Source organism: Homo sapiens, chromosome 17, assembly GCF_000001405.40.
Source record: "Homo sapiens chromosome 17, GRCh38.p14 Primary Assembly".
NCBI classification, from domain to species: domain Eukaryota; kingdom Metazoa; phylum Chordata; class Mammalia; order Primates; family Hominidae; genus Homo; species Homo sapiens.
In genome coordinates, this window is record NC_000017.11 from 4945475 (window position 1) to 4959225 (window position 13751).

At 56.2% G+C, this 13751-nt stretch overlaps 2 protein-coding genes across 8 annotated transcripts, besides 10 other annotated features; one reads left to right on the top strand and one right to left on the bottom strand.

The window, feature by feature from the left end:
• Positions 46-215: an enhancer, noted in NCBI's record as "active region_11560". NCBI's record gives its function as "activates an Ori minimal core promoter by ATAC-STARR-seq in GM12878 lymphoblastoid cells {active_cell/tissue: GM12878}" and the evidence as "EXISTENCE:reporter gene assay evidence [ECO:0000049][PMID:35858748]".
• Positions 178-3056, bottom strand: PFN1 (profilin 1). 2 transcript variants are annotated; one of them, NM_005022.4, is made up of 3 exons: positions 2789-3056; positions 1154-1346; positions 178-523 (listed from the first exon to the last, which is right to left on the bottom strand). In NM_005022.4, exons 1-3 carry the CDS (start codon positions 2918-2920, stop codon positions 426-428), a joined length of 423 nt encoding a protein of 140 aa, NP_005013.1. In that variant the 5' UTR covers positions 2921-3056; the 3' UTR covers positions 178-425. The 2 variants fall into 2 exon arrangements, with proteins under 2 accessions (NP_005013.1, NP_001362920.1); NM_001375991.1 differs by having other exon boundaries at positions 178-1346.
• Positions 886-965: an enhancer, noted in NCBI's record as "active region_11561". NCBI's record gives its function as "activates an Ori minimal core promoter by ATAC-STARR-seq in GM12878 lymphoblastoid cells {active_cell/tissue: GM12878}" and the evidence as "EXISTENCE:reporter gene assay evidence [ECO:0000049][PMID:35858748]".
• Positions 2326-2555: a silencer, noted in NCBI's record as "silent region_8052". NCBI's record gives its function as "represses an Ori minimal core promoter by ATAC-STARR-seq in GM12878 lymphoblastoid cells {active_cell/tissue: GM12878}" and the evidence as "EXISTENCE:reporter gene assay evidence [ECO:0000049][PMID:35858748]".
• Positions 2586-2655: a silencer, noted in NCBI's record as "silent region_8053". NCBI's record gives its function as "represses an Ori minimal core promoter by ATAC-STARR-seq in GM12878 lymphoblastoid cells {active_cell/tissue: GM12878}" and the evidence as "EXISTENCE:reporter gene assay evidence [ECO:0000049][PMID:35858748]".
• Positions 2926-3265: a silencer, noted in NCBI's record as "silent region_8054". NCBI's record gives its function as "represses an Ori minimal core promoter by ATAC-STARR-seq in GM12878 lymphoblastoid cells {active_cell/tissue: GM12878}" and the evidence as "EXISTENCE:reporter gene assay evidence [ECO:0000049][PMID:35858748]".
• On the top strand, positions 3236-11655 carry ENO3 (enolase 3). 6 transcript variants are annotated; one of them, XM_011523729.2, is made up of 12 exons: positions 3236-3819; positions 6354-6440; positions 7321-7416; positions 7577-7635; positions 7798-7867; positions 8238-8371; positions 9601-9823; positions 9933-10130; positions 10468-10669; positions 11099-11207; positions 11357-11415; positions 11504-11655. In XM_011523729.2, the coding sequence occupies exons 2-12, from the start codon at positions 6356-6358 to the stop codon at positions 11571-11573; spliced, it is 1305 nt and encodes a 434-aa protein (XP_011522031.1). In that variant the 5' UTR covers positions 3236-3819; positions 6354-6355; the 3' UTR covers positions 11574-11655. The 6 variants fall into 6 exon arrangements, with proteins under 6 accessions (XP_011522031.1, NP_001361453.1, NP_001967.3 ...); NM_001374524.1 differs by lacking the exon at positions 3236-3819 and adding an exon at positions 5078-5156; NM_001976.5 differs by lacking the exon at positions 3236-3819 and adding an exon at positions 5645-5750.
• Positions 3396-3645: a silencer, noted in NCBI's record as "silent region_8055". NCBI's record gives its function as "represses an Ori minimal core promoter by ATAC-STARR-seq in GM12878 lymphoblastoid cells {active_cell/tissue: GM12878}" and the evidence as "EXISTENCE:reporter gene assay evidence [ECO:0000049][PMID:35858748]".
• Positions 3846-4015: an enhancer, noted in NCBI's record as "active region_11562". NCBI's record gives its function as "activates an Ori minimal core promoter by ATAC-STARR-seq in GM12878 lymphoblastoid cells {active_cell/tissue: GM12878}" and the evidence as "EXISTENCE:reporter gene assay evidence [ECO:0000049][PMID:35858748]".
• Positions 4106-4515: a silencer, noted in NCBI's record as "silent region_8056". NCBI's record gives its function as "represses an Ori minimal core promoter by ATAC-STARR-seq in GM12878 lymphoblastoid cells {active_cell/tissue: GM12878}" and the evidence as "EXISTENCE:reporter gene assay evidence [ECO:0000049][PMID:35858748]".
• Positions 4566-4795: a silencer, noted in NCBI's record as "silent region_8057". NCBI's record gives its function as "represses an Ori minimal core promoter by ATAC-STARR-seq in GM12878 lymphoblastoid cells {active_cell/tissue: GM12878}" and the evidence as "EXISTENCE:reporter gene assay evidence [ECO:0000049][PMID:35858748]".
• Positions 6177-6911: an enhancer, noted in NCBI's record as "H3K4me1 hESC enhancer chr17:4854946-4855680 (GRCh37/hg19 assembly coordinates)". NCBI's record gives its function as "activates a minimal SCP1, AML or CMV promoter by ChIP-STARR-seq in primed H9 embryonic stem cells {active_cell/tissue: H9 hESC(primed)}" and the evidence as "EXISTENCE:reporter gene assay evidence [ECO:0000049][PMID:30033119]".

Consider the following 13751-nt stretch of genomic DNA (forward strand, 5'->3'; position numbering starts at 1 on the left):
CACACTGAGGACTTAGGCCTGGAAATGCCACTGTGGAGGGGCAGGGCCACCTGGCCAGAAGCTCAAATTCCTGCACCTTGTAGTACCTCAACCTCCCTGCTCCCAAGCCACGATAAAGGAGGCAAGTCACAGTGCCTATCCCCCATTCTGACACCCAAGCTCAAATCACACAGCACCTTGTTAGTAGAATCTTTTTTATTCAGAAAAAAAAAACCCCAAAAAACAAAAGTTTTCCAACCACACACGGGAGGGATATGGGTAGGGGGAGGTGTCTGTCCATCCAGCCCTGGCCCCCAGCCCATGTGGTTTTGGCAGCAATAAGGGGTATGGGGTAATGGCCCAAAAAATAAAATGGTTTGTGTGTGTATGGGGAGGAAAGGGGTGCAAAGCTGTGGGGAGCGGTGAAGGGGAAGGGACAGACGAGGTCAGTACTGGGAACGCCGAAGGTGGGAGGCCATTTCATAACATTTCTTGTTGATCAAACCACCGTGGACACCTTCTTTGCCCATCAGCAGGACTAGCGCTGGAGGAGGAGGAAAGAGAAAGGAGGCTAGGATCCAGGTGTCACAATTCCACCCCCTGCCAGCTGTTCAGCAGCTGTCCAGCCCTGGGGGCTGTAACCCAACCTCATCTCTCCCAACCCGCCCCCCCACCACACACAGGCAGGCTGTCAGTCACCCTGAAACAATAAGGCTTTTCAAAAGAGGAAAATCAAGCTTAAACGCTGGAGAGGAACAGACTAAAAACTTAGGGGTCAAAGGCTCATAGACTGTTGATTCATGTGTTCAGGCTAGAAAGGGCTGTGGATGTGCATGCCACCTCCAGGTTCTAACAAAAGAACTCAAACGATGAACTCGATGATTCAAGACCCCAACAATCTACCTATACTCCTAGAAAACAGTTTCTAATCCGAGCTCAAGGCAGTAAGTAATTTAAGAGGTAATGCAGTTCAGCAACTTCGAATTACAAGATGAGGAACTGAGACAGAATGGAGGGACTATCCCGTGTTCCAGCATCCAGCAGACAAGGAACACAATACTGGTCTGACTCCCTTCATGTTGGGGAATCACACAAAAAAGCACCCTCAAGATTACCAGAAGGCGGTACATTAGAGATCTTGGAGCTAAAGGAAGGGTAAGACTCAGGAACTCACTCTTGTCAGTCTTGGTGACAGTGACATTGAAGGTGGGGGCCCCACCGGTGCTCTTGGTACGAAGATCCATGCTAAATTCCCCATCCTGCAGCAGTGAGTCCCGGATCACCGAACATTTCTGGCCCCCAAGTGTCAGCCCATTCACGTAAAAACTTGACCGGTCTTTGCCAACCAGGACACCCACCTCAGCTGGCTGGAAGAGGAACCAAGCGCCCATCAAGTTAGTCAGTGCACCAAGATTCCCACCGTGTTCTCCAAAGACCCACCTGTCTTCCACTTCTGAGAACCACCCCGCCGTGGGGGCTAAGTATAAATTATATACTCAGTACACATCAATGAACTGTGAGAAACTCTGAGGACTGTGGGACGTTAGTGCAGAAAAAGATCATGATTCTGAAACTTAGAATATGGAACCAGGGAGGAAGGGATGACATACTCCTCTAGAGATTTAGATGTCAGTGTTAATGGGGAAAGTAAACCCAGGAAATAAAGGGAGTCAGTGAGGTAAGTGAGGAGCCTTTGGATGCTCAGAACTCTCCTTCAGGAAAAGCAGAAGCGGAGAGGGGAAGGGAGGGGGGCGGGCGAGGCAAGAGAAGCAACTTTGCCCTTATTTGGTCAAAGGTTCTGCAGGAGCTGTTAGGGCCCGGACGCCTGGGTCTCCAAGTAACCTAGAGTTTAGCTCCAGGTATCTCTGCTCTGAGATGAGGAAGCAGACCCCTGGGGGCTTTCCGGGAAAGTTGGAAAACTTTTGAAGGTGGACAGGGGCCAGACCCGGCAGGCCAGCTCTCGGGTCTAGGTACCCCGGGAACCTTTCCCCCCTCCCCCTTTCACCCCAAGCCCCCACATCCGGTCCCCTCCCGCCCGGAAACCCCCTTCCCCCCCCTTTTGAACTTCCGCTCCCCCTCCCCACTTCCGGGCAGTGTGGACAGGGAGATGGTGGTGGGAGCAGCGGTAGTAAACCAATATACTTTCGCTTATGCTGTCTCAGAACTTCTCACAAAGTTCCCCTGCTCCAGGCCCCGCCGGATGGCGGGAAGGGAGGGCGAGGGGACTTCCGGGATTGGCCTCGCAGGAATGTTGAATCCAACGTGCTGAGCTGGGGGGGCGTGTGGTGGCCTCGCCCTCTCTAACGGAGTTAGGAGGGGCCAGAAGCCCACAGAGGGTGGGCAAGGGACCAAGACCACGCGCCTGGGGCTCCCTTCCGCACCAGGAGAAACAATGGTAGAGGGACGCGGGCTGGCAGCCGGACGGGGAGCTGGGGGTCCAAGGATCCCCGGGTCCCCTCTCAATCCCAATCCCCAGTAAAAACTGAGGCGCGTCCCCGCCCCGCCCTGGGAGAGGCGGAAGTGGGCCGCCGCACCGGGCGCCGCGCCCCTCCCCGCCCTGTGCCCCGGATGTAACGCCCCGTCGCGGAAAGCGGGGTAGCGGGCGGGATGGGCGCCGCCGCCTGGGGCATAGGACCTACGGGCAACTGAGGGACCCACTCACGTGCAGCCGCCATTCGCGCCGCTTCCAGGGCAAGCACCCAGTCAGGGCCTCTCGCTGCGCGCCCTAGACCGCGCCCGCCCCCACCCAAGTCCCTCCCTCAGGGTCCAAACCGGAGCAGTGCCCCGGACCGCGCAGGCCTCGCAGTACCGTGATGTTGACGAACGTTTTCCCGGGGACGGCGGCCCAGACGGAGGGCGAGTCCTTGTAGCCCACGATGGCCGCGTCCTGACAGGTCCCGTCCGCCATGAGGTTGTCGATGTAGGCGTTCCACCCGGCCATGGCGCTGCTACTGGGGCTGCTCTCGGCGCTGCTGCTGGGGCCGCGGACTGGGCTCGAGCTGCCTCGGCTGGCGGGCGGGGGGAGGCGGAGAGCTCGGGGCACGCGCTGCCGTCCGGACCGCGGCTCCGCTCGCTGTGCAGCAGCCCTCGCACCGCCACTTCCTGCTCCTCCCCCCCCCCGCCCCGCTAGATTTTTATTTGCAAAGGACGGTAGGGGCGGGGCCTACTCCCCATTCCCTCCCTCCCCCACTCGCCAGCCCAGACACCGAACTTTGCAAATGCAATTTTAAAAATCCCTCCCCCTATTGCAAAATTTGCAGAGTTCGATGGAAAGCAATGCAGAAGGATGGGGGGTGGCGGGAGAGAGGTGAAGGGTAGGGTTTGCTCCAATTTGCACTGAATATAAACCAGACTTTGGTATCGGGGCAGGGAGTGAGCCAGAAGAAGGAAGGAAGGAGAAAGCAGGAGGAATTAGCAAGCTGCAAATTTAGCAAATTAAGGAGAGTTCGGGGAGCCCAGGGTTAAACGGGATGACTCCTCCTTCCCCCACCTCCGCCGAAGGGAAGGACCGGCGGGCGGCGGCGCGTGTGCCCGCGCCTGCGCCTGCGCCGGGGCCGGGAGTGCATGGGGCGGTCGGGGCCGGAGCCGGCTGCACGGGAGCGCGCCCGGCCCGACCCGTGTGGACCCTGCGGGAAAGGAAGGCGGGCTGGGGACGTGTCTCCCGCCTGGCGGAAGGGGCGGGGGCGAAGCCGTGCGCGCTGCCGCCTCACCACCCTTGATTTTACTTATTCAAGTAATAAGAAAGCAAAGAAGAGTTTGGCCAAATCCTCTAGTCGCTCTCATAGCTGAAGGCACCCACCGGGGCCACTTCTGTCCCCAGCGTCTTCTCGGGTCGTGCAGGTTGGGTTCACCAGGGCCCATTCTCAGTCTAGAGGATTGTCCCTTCTCTGGATCGGCTCTAGCCCAGGGCCTCACCCCACATCCCAGCCCCGCCCGCCCCAGGCAGGCAATGTCTGGATCACCGGCCGTGCCCCTTGGCCTGTGTCTGCAGAGGTCACAGAGCGCGGACACCCGCGGGGCTTAACAGGCGGGGCTATTTTTCGAGGCGGAAGAATACTCAAGTTGCAAGAGTGGCAACTTTTTCAAGAAGGGGAAAGTCCCACTTCGGGCCCTTTGGGTTTCTTCGCAGTCAGATGTGCGCTCACAGCCACCTGGGGAGGGCGGGACGGGCGGGACGGCCGTGCGGCGGCCGCGGTGAAACCGCCTCCTCCGACCCGCCGCCGAGGGCTGGGCGGCTTCCGGAGCCTGGGCTAGGGGCAAGGGGTCACCGAGCGCGGCCCGGGCGGAAAGGGGGTTGGTTTTCTCTCTCCTCCCGAGCGCGGCGCGCATCCCTGGCGTCCACGCCGAATCCCACAGTCCCCGACGCCCCTCGAGTCCGTGTTCCTCGACAGCCGCGCGGCTGAGTCACTGGCGGGCTCGGGCGGGGCCGCACCCGGGCACGTGGCGGCGCTCCCCGCCCGCCATCTCCTGACCCCTGGCCCACCGCACCCCTACCCCAGGGTGGAAAAATCCCGGGAGGAGCGGCCTGAGATGAGGGGGCGGGGCGAGAGGGGAGACTGGACGGGTGGCGGGGCAGGTGGCCTGGGGTGGGGGCTGGGAGGCCGCGCGGGCCGGCGGGGCGGGGAGCAGGGGTGGGGAGAGGGCGGCGGGGGTGAGTCACCGGGCGCGCGCTGCCCCGGCGCCGACGGGAAGGGCCTCCGAGTCGGGCCGAGGCGCCGTGTGTCCCCCGCCGGTCGGCTGGTATGGCTGCAGAGGAGCTCGGGGCAGACCCCGCACTGGCCCCAGAGCCGGCAAAGTGGAGATCTCTACCGAGGGCAGAGACCTACCTCCCCGCAGTGCTACAAGTGGGGCGCCGGAAGAGCCCCAGGCGTGCAGAAGCTCACAAAAGGCCACCCGTCCTCGGTCCATTCATTTTTGTTCACTGTTGATTCAGCCCCATTCATTGATGGGCTGGGGCCGTGCGCTGAGCGCCCACAGTCGATGGGGAAAGGGGCTCTGACCGACAGTCCCCACGCCGGGCGACAAGTGCTGTCCCAGCGTTATCAGTCGGGCGCCTTGCCAGCCGAAAGGGCCTGTCTAAATTCGTTTCCTGTCCCCTAACTCATCCCGGCGCTGGCTGGCCTGGAGAGGGTAGGATGGGGCGGCGCCGAGAATGGCCGTTATGAGGACCCTAAGAGGTGAGACCCTCTCGCCTTCTGGGGTGGGGGGTCCCGTCCTTTCCCCCACTGAGGACAGAGGCCCGCCCAGCGATCTGAGCATGTGTGGACGTCAATCTTGCAGCCCCTCTTCCAGGCCCCCTCCCCAGCCTTGCAGGGCTCAGGTTACCCCTGGCCTTTCCTAAAGGTCACTCATTCCTCTTGACGTTTGCAAAAGGGGAATGTAATCCTGGGGTGGGGGGAGACCCCTCATCTGTAGCCCCTCCCTTGCTCCTCCCAAAGGGTGGAATTAGAACAGGGACTGTTATTGGGAGACAGAAAGTGGGGGATAGTAGTTGACCTTTGGTAAGGGGGCAGGTGCCCAGGGCCAGAGGCTTCTGCTTCAGGCTGTAGTGGGCACTTGGCTGCCAGCCCAGTGTGAAGGGGGGAGGATGGAGAGAAAGAGAGGCGGGGCTGGCTGGGGACCGAGTGGCTCAGGGATAAATGCGCAGCCTGAGAGGGGGTGAGCTGACACTGTCCCAGCTGCCACCTAGACTCGGAGCTCCATCCAAACCTCCAGCGAAGACATCCCAGGTCGGGTGAATCTTCCAGCCCTGGGGGTGGAGGTAGTAAAGGGTGAGCATGGTATTGGCTTGGAGGAAGTGGGGGACATTTCTGCTTTTTTTCCTCCTGGGACTGGAGATGCTTGAAAAAGCTGGGGGAAGGGGCGGCTGGAGCAAGCAGATGGGACAAACTCTGGGAACACCGAAGGATCTAGGGAAAGGAGGCTGTGAGGAGGGCAGCAGGGATGGATAGAAAAGGGCAGCTAGAGCTGGAACCTGATAGGGAATTGGGGGCCCAAGGAGATTTCGGAGCAGGAAAATGAGAACCAGAAAGGATTTGAAGGCCACCAGCCATGGAGAACAGACTGCTTGACCAGAGGGGTGGAAGGAGAAGGCCTAAGTGGAGGCTTGGGGGAGGTGGGGGCTTGGTGAGCGGTGGCATCCCAGGAGCTATAGATAAGAGGCCCCTGGATTCTTAGGATGGGAGGGTGGAATAAGAGCTGTTCTGAGTGGGGGAGGGGGCTGCGCCTGCCTCTTTGGTCTGTGACCTTTTTGTAGGGTATTTTTAGCTCCAGCACCTGCCTTCTTGGAGTGGGGAAGAATCTTAAAGGGCAAGGGATTTCTGGTTCCTTAAGAGATCAACTGTCTACACTCACTCACACCTCCTGTCCTGCAGCCATGGCCATGCAGAAAATCTTTGCCCGGGAAATCTTGGACTCCAGGGGCAACCCCACGGTGGAGGTGGACCTGCACACGGCCAAGGGTAACACAAGGCCCATTGGATAGGCTCGCCTCCGAAGACCCCAACCCTTTGGCCTTTGCCCCCCAGTTCTGTGCCATATCCTCTCCTTTCTCTCGGGTTCCCTTTCCCAGACTTCTTCCCAAGCCCCCTTCTTCCAACGTGGAACCAGAGCTGGAAGCTAGGAGAAGCAGGAGTCTCTCTCTGCACTGCCTCCTGTCCCTGAGCTCAGAGAGGACACCTCAGCCCTTTGAGAGGTAGAGAGACTCCCTGTGAGGTCCTTTTTTTTGTTTTGTTTTGTTTTGAGATGGAGTCTCGCTCTGTGGCCCGGGCTGGAGTGCAGTGGTGCAATCTCAGCTCACTGCAACCTCTGCCTCCCGGGTTTAAGTGATTCTTGTGCCTCAGCCTCCCAAGTAGCTGGGATTACAGGCCTGTGCCATCACGCCCAGCTAATTTTTTTTTTTTTTTTTTGAGATGGAGTCTCACTCTGTCGCCCAGGCTGGAGTGCAGTGGCGCGATCTAGGCTCACTGCAAGCTCCGCCTCCCGGGTTCACGCCATTCTCCTGCCTCAGCCTCCCGAGTAGCTGGGACTACAGCTAATTTTTTGTATTTTTAGTAGAGATGGGGTTTCACGGTGTCAGCCAGGATTGTCTCGATCTCCTGATCTCGTGATCCGCCCGCCTTGGCCTCCCAAAGTGCTGGGATTACAGGCGTGAGCCACCGCGCCCGGCCTCAGCTAATTTTTGTATTTTTAGCAGAGACGGTTTCGCCATGTTAGCCAGGCTGGTCTTGAACTCCTGATCTCAAGTGATCCACCTGCCTAGGCCTCTCAAAGTGCTGGGATTACAGGCATGGGCCACCGCGCCCAGCCATCCCTGTGATCTTCCAATTCCTCCTGTCCCAGGCCGATTCCGAGCAGCTGTGCCCAGTGGGGCTTCCACGGGTATCTATGAGGCTCTGGAACTAAGAGACGGAGACAAAGGCCGCTACCTGGGGAAAGGTGAGGAGACACCAGCGCAGAAGGAGCCTGTGTGGGCGGCTTTAGGACATGGGTGCACAATGGGTAGAGGACTGGAACCCCCAAGGCTCTTGAGGAGCTGGGGTCCACAGAAAGGGGCCCAGTTGATTGAGCTCCAAAACTCATCCTCTGGCCTGTCTAGGAGTCCTGAAGGCTGTGGAGAACATCAACAATACTCTGGGCCCTGCTCTGCTGCAAAAGGCAAGTGGGGAAGCCCGCTCGCTGCAGCCTCCTCCCCATGCCCCTGCTCCCTCAGCCCAGACAGGCCTCTCCCGAAACATTTTCCCTTATCCTTCCCCTGCATGTGCCCTGACTTCTGAGAAATCTGACCTCTGCTCTCCCTTCTCAAACTCACCCTTCCAGAAACTAAGCGTTGTGGATCAAGAAAAAGTTGACAAATTTATGATTGAGCTAGATGGGACCGAGAATAAGTGTGAGTGAAGGGCTAGCGGTGGGGAAGGGATGAGGTGTGGGAGAGATGGCGAGAGGCCATGGGGTGAGGCCTGATGGGTTATTTCTGGGTCCCCCATTTTGGGTCACACCGCAGCTGGATGGATTTGTGTTCATTCCACAGGCATTTCCTATGCCTGCCTTCTGCCAGGCCTGGGCCGGGCTGTGGACACAGACATGCAGCTGACACATTCCCCCGGGGTGGGGGTTCCCAGGGCTACTCAGGCTGTTGGGGAGAGATCTGTTAACCAATTCTTCATGCTCAGTGGTTTGGAGCTCTGGCGTCTTCCTGGAGTAGCCACCCCAAACCCTGCAGAAGCTCTCATCCTTTCTTCCCGCTTGCCTCCTTCCAGCCAAGTTTGGGGCCAATGCCATCCTGGGCGTGTCCTTGGCCGTGTGTAAGGCGGGAGCAGCTGAGAAGGGGGTCCCCCTGTACCGCCACATCGCAGATCTCGCTGGGAACCCTGACCTCATACTCCCAGTGCCAGTGAGTGCAGCTACCCGCCCTTCCCAGATCTCGCCTGGACAGAGCCAACCCCGCCCAGCCAGGGTTGGCCCCCCTGGAAAATCCACCTTTCAGACCAGCTCCTAAGAAGCAGTTTCCTGAAATTGAATCTCTCCTGCTGTGGTCCCACCCCTCCCTCTCTTCCACAATCCAAACCTTCCCTGAAGGCTCTATGTGCTTCCTTCCCTGCCATATAACCCAGTTCCTTCCCATTCCAATCCTAGGCTCGATAACTCCAGCCTCGTTCCAACCCCACACCCTACACCCAAATCATATTGAGAGTTTCTTTGAGGCAAAGATCTTGGCATTTCTTTGTATCTTCTTGAGTCCTTCTTAAACCAGTGCCTTCTTGATGAATGGAAACTCTTTGAATTTAATCTCAATAATAATGTTACCATTTCTTGTTACTTACTAGGAGGATTGCATAAGAGCATGGTCTCTAGAGATAGATTGCTGGGTTTGAATCCTGGCTCTGCCTGTTATTAGTTGTATGATTTTAGGCAAGTTCTTTAACTGCTCTGTCTCAGTTTCCCCATCTGTAAAATGGGGGGTAATAACGATACCAATGAATAGAGGTGTTTTGAGAATGAAATGGGCTAATACATGTAAAGTACTTAGTGCGTGGCATGTAGTAAGTGCTATATAAAAGTGTTAGCTATTATATACTAGGCACATGCTAAGAACTTTACATTCAATTTCTCTAATTTTCAGCAAAAGATCCTACAGGGAAGTAGGTGCTATCCCCATTTTACAGAAATGAGGAAAGAGAGGCTGGGCACAGTGGCTCACGCCTGTAATCCCAGCACTTCGGGAGGCCGAGGCGGGCAGATCACAAGGTCAGGAGTTCGAGACCAGCCTGACCAACATGGTGAAACCCCGTCTCTACTAAAAATACAAAAATTAGCCAGGCATGGTGGCACCCACCTATAGTCCCAGCTACTAGGGAGGCTAAGGCAGGAGAATCACTTGAACCCGGGAGGCGGAGGTTGCGCCATTGCACTCCAGCCTGGTGACAAAGTGAGACTCCGTCTCAAAAAAAAAAAAAAAAAAAGAAAGAAATGAGGAAAGAGGCTCTTGAGCAAAACTACTCATCCTAGACCACTGAGCTAGTAAGTAGGGAAGCCAGGTTTCCACCCCAACACCCCCCGCCCCTGTCCCTTCTTGAGCTCTCATGCCCCGGCCCAGGTCCAGACACCCTCTCCCCATCTCAGGCCTTCAATGTGATCAACGGGGGCTCCCATGCTGGAAACAAGCTGGCCATGCAGGAGTTCATGATTCTGCCTGTGGGAGCCAGCTCCTTCAAGGAAGCCATGCGCATTGGCGCCGAGGTCTACCACCACCTCAAGGGGGTCATCAAGGCCAAGTATGGGAAGGATGCCACCAATGTGGGTGATGAAGGTGGCTTCGCACCCAACATCCTGGAGAACAATGAGGGTCAGTGCTGAGCACCCTGGGGGGCAGACCCCCTGGATCTCCACATGGGCAGGGGAGGCTGCAGACAAGGGGCACTGGAGTCTCAGGTCCTTTCTTGGTCCTCCCCCAGCCCTGGAGCTGCTGAAGACGGCCATCCAGGCGGCTGGTTACCCAGACAAGGTGGTGATCGGCATGGATGTGGCAGCATCTGAGTTCTATCGCAATGGGAAGTACGATCTTGACTTCAAGTCGCCTGATGATCCCGCACGGCACATCACTGGGGAGAAGCTCGGAGAGCTGTATAAGAGCTTTATCAAGAACTATCCTGGTGAGGCGTTCGGGTGTCCCAGTGTTCCTGCCCGAATCCCGTGCAGCTGCCTAATATACTGATTTCAGTGACCTGCTTTGCCATCGACTTGGATCCTTCCAATTCTTAGCCCCATTAAAATCCCCATTTAAGCTCTTCTGCCCTGTCACCCCTCCATGAGGCTCCTTCTGACCTCTAGCCGTGTCTCTGCCCTGTCTCTGCCTTGTCTCTGCCCTGTCTCTGCTCTGTCTCTGCCCTGTCTCTGCCCTGTCTCTGCCCTGTCTCTGCTCTGTCTCTGCCCTGTCTCTGCCCTGTCTCTGCTCTGTCTCTGCCCTGTCTCTGCTCCAAACCCCACCAGTGGTCTCCATCGAAGACCCCTTTGACCAGGATGACTGGGCCACTTGGACCTCCTTCCTCTCGGGGGTGAACATCCAGATTGTGGGGGATGACTTGACAGTCACCAACCCCAAGAGGATTGCCCAGGCCGTTGAGAAGAAGGCCTGCAACTGTCTGCTGCTGAAGGTCAACCAGATCGGCTCGGTGACCGAATCGATCCAGGCGTGAGTGCCTCCTGACCCTGAGGCTCACCATAGCCTGCCTCTGCCCCAGCTCTGCCCACTCCAGCTACAGTCTTACCCACCAACTCCAAGCTTACCTTTCCCCTGGCACCTGACTTACCCACACCTTGATCTCAAGACTTTGTTTGACTAATCCTTGGCCTGACTCCAAGAGCTTTGCCCCTGTGGCTCTGTCATGACCCCCCACCCCCAGCCCACACCATTCCTCTCTCAGATTCCGCTGTTCTCAGCAGCATCTCAAGAGCCCGAAATCAAGATAAGTCTTTTCCTCTCCTACTTCCCAAAGAACTTAGTCACTGCCCTCCCTGCAGAGTGCTTGCTACCCAAAACAGAAGGGAGAGGCCCCACCCAACCCCTGCTTTCCCACTGAGGAGGTTCTAGAAGGCCACATCAAATGTCCTCTCCACTCAGGTGCAAACTGGCTCAGTCTAATGGCTGGGGGGTGATGGTGAGCCACCGCTCTGGGGAGACTGAGGACACATTCATTGCTGACCTTGTGGTGGGGCTCTGCACAGGACAGGTACTTGTAGCTTCTCTCTACTGAGTGTCTCACCAAGTTTTCTTGGGGTCCCTGGCCTCCTGCCTTTGAGGTTAATGCTCCCTTGGGGCCAGGTCCAACCCCTCCTTTCCAGCCTCACCTAACCCTCCAAATTCTTCTTCCCTCATCAGATCAAGACTGGCGCCCCCTGCCGCTCGGAGCGTCTGGCCAAATACAACCAACTCATGAGGTACAGCGGGAACAGTGGGCCTGGGCATTGGGGTGCTGGAGGCTGTTAGGTTGGAAGTTCAGCAGCCCTAACCTTGCCTGCATTCTAGGATCGAGGAGGCTCTTGGGGACAAGGCAATCTTTGCTGGACGCAAGTTCCGTAACCCGAAGGCCAAGTGAGAAGCTGGAGGCTCCAGGACTCCACTGGACAGACCCAGGTCTTCCAGACCTGCTTCCTGAAATAAACACTGGTGCCAACCAAGACAGCTGTGTGCTTCTTTGTGGGAGCTAGGGGATGCTGGTTTCTGGGCTGAGCTGGGGAAAACAGGAGGTGGCGAGATGGGGGCGGGGAGGGGAGGCAAATAGATATGTAACCTGCTAGGACAAAGAGGAGGTGAGGGACTCACAGAGGAAGCTGGGTGGTTCTAGAACAACAGAGGTGTTCACATTTCCAAAGGAGGTAGGGGAAGCAGATGCTATATGGTAAAATGAAGCTGCAGAGTTGCCAATGGAGCCGGGCATGGTGGCGCTCGCCTGTAGTCCCAGATACCTGGGAGGCTGAGTTGAGAGGATCGCTTGAGCCCAGGAGGTTGAGGCTGCAGTACACTATGTTCGTACCACTGCACTCCAGCCTGGGCTGCAGAGCAAGACCCTGTCTCAAAGCAACAACAACAAAAAAAAACAAAAACAAACAAAAAAACTAAATAAAGAGTTTCAGAGGGAATAAGAAACCAGCTCCAGGAGAGGGGAGCAGGGTGGGGACTGGGGTCCTGCCACCACCATGAAGGGGAAGCTGGCTGTGAAGTAAATGGTCTGCAGAGGATGCTAGAGTGAGGCTGCAGTCCTAGGGAGGGCTTTGTGAGGATGAGAGTGATAATGACAGTGGCTGCCTCTCCTATAGAACTTACAGGATCTTGGCAGGGCACAGTGGCTCACGCCTGTAATCCCAGCACTTTGGGAGGCCGAGGCGGGCGGATCACCTGAGGTCGGGAGTTCGGGACCAGCCTGACCAACATGGAGAAACCCCATCTCTACTAAAAAATACAAAAATTAGCCAGGCATGGTGGTGCATGCCTGTAATCCCAGTTACTCGGAGGCTGAGGCAGGAGAATCGCTTGAACTCGGGAGGCAGAGGTTGCAGTGAGCCGAGATCGTGCCATTGCACTCCAGCCTGGGCAACAAGAGCAAAACTCTGTCTCAAAAAAAAAAAAAAAAAAAAAAAGAACTTACAGGATCTGAAACTGTTCTAAATATTTGACATATATTGCCCTGTGCAATTGTTCAAACAGCTCTGTCAGATAGCTGCCATAATTATCCTTATTTTATAGGTGAGGAAACCTGAGGCACAAAAGGTTAAATGCCTTACCCAAGGTAACGGTTGGCAGCTGGCAGGGCTAGGATCCAAAGCCAAGGTATTTGACTCCAGCGATTATACTCTCATGTATTTATTTTGAGCCAGCTTCTTGATCTGTCACCCAGGCAGGAGTGCAGTGATGCGATCATAGTTCACTGTAGCCTCAAACTCCTGGGCTCAAGCAATTCTCTTGCCTCAGCCTGCAAAGTAGCTGGGACTACAGGTGCACACCACCAGGTATGGCTAATTTTTAAATTTTGTATATTTTATTTTCTTTTTGTAGAGAAGGTTTGTGGCCTAGACTGATCTCAAACTCCTGGAGTCAAGCGATTCTCCTGCCTTGGCCTCCCAAAGTGCTGGGATCGCAGGTGTGAGCCACTGCGCTCAACCAATTTTTTAATTTTGTAGAGAGAAAGTCTCACTATGTTGCCCAGGCTGATCTTGACCTCCTGACCTCAAGTGATCCTCCAGCCTTGGCCTCCTAAAATGCTGGGATTACAGGTGTGAGCCACTATGCCCAGCCCGATTGCACTCTTAAAATACAGCATCTTACAAAACCCTCTGGGCCGGGCACAGTGGCTCACTCTTGCAATCCCAGCACTTTGGGAGGCTGAGGCGGGCGGATCACCTGAGGTTAGGAGTTAGAGACCAGCCTGGCCAATATGGTGAAACCCCATCTCTACTAAATGTACAAAAAATTACCCGGGTGTGGTGACACATGCCTGTAGTCCCAGCTACTCAGGAGGCTAAGGCAGGAGAATCGCTTGAACCCTGGAGGCAGAGGTTGCAGTGAGCCGAGATCACACCACTGCACTCCAGTCTGGGCAACAGAGAAAGACTCTGTCTCAAAACAAACAAACAAACAAAAAACCTCTGATAGTTCCAACTGGCCATCTTTAACCTACACAAACAGCAATTTTATGCTGTTCAACTGAAAATTATTCCCCTTCTTCTCTACCAGTGGTTCCAGGACCCACCTTTCTGTGTATAAACAAACCAGGACA

Coding starts and splice junctions, on each gene's coding strand:
- PFN1 (NM_001375991.1), bottom strand. CDS start 2,920: ATGGCCGGGTGGAACGCCTACATCGACAACCTCATGGCGGACGGGACC. Junction 1,347..2,788: donor AAACGTTCGTCAACATCACG/GTACTGCGAGGC, acceptor TTCCTCTTCCAG/CCAGCTGAGGTGGGTGTCCT.
- ENO3 (NM_001374524.1), top strand. CDS start 5,132: ATGGCCGTTATGAGGACCCTAAGAG. Junction 5,157..6,353: donor CGTTATGAGGACCCTAAGAG/GTGAGACCCTCT, acceptor CCTGTCCTGCAG/CCATGGCCATGCAGAAAATC. Junction 11,208..11,356: donor TGGGGCTCTGCACAGGACAG/GTACTTGTAGCT, acceptor TTCCCTCATCAG/ATCAAGACTGGCGCCCCCTG.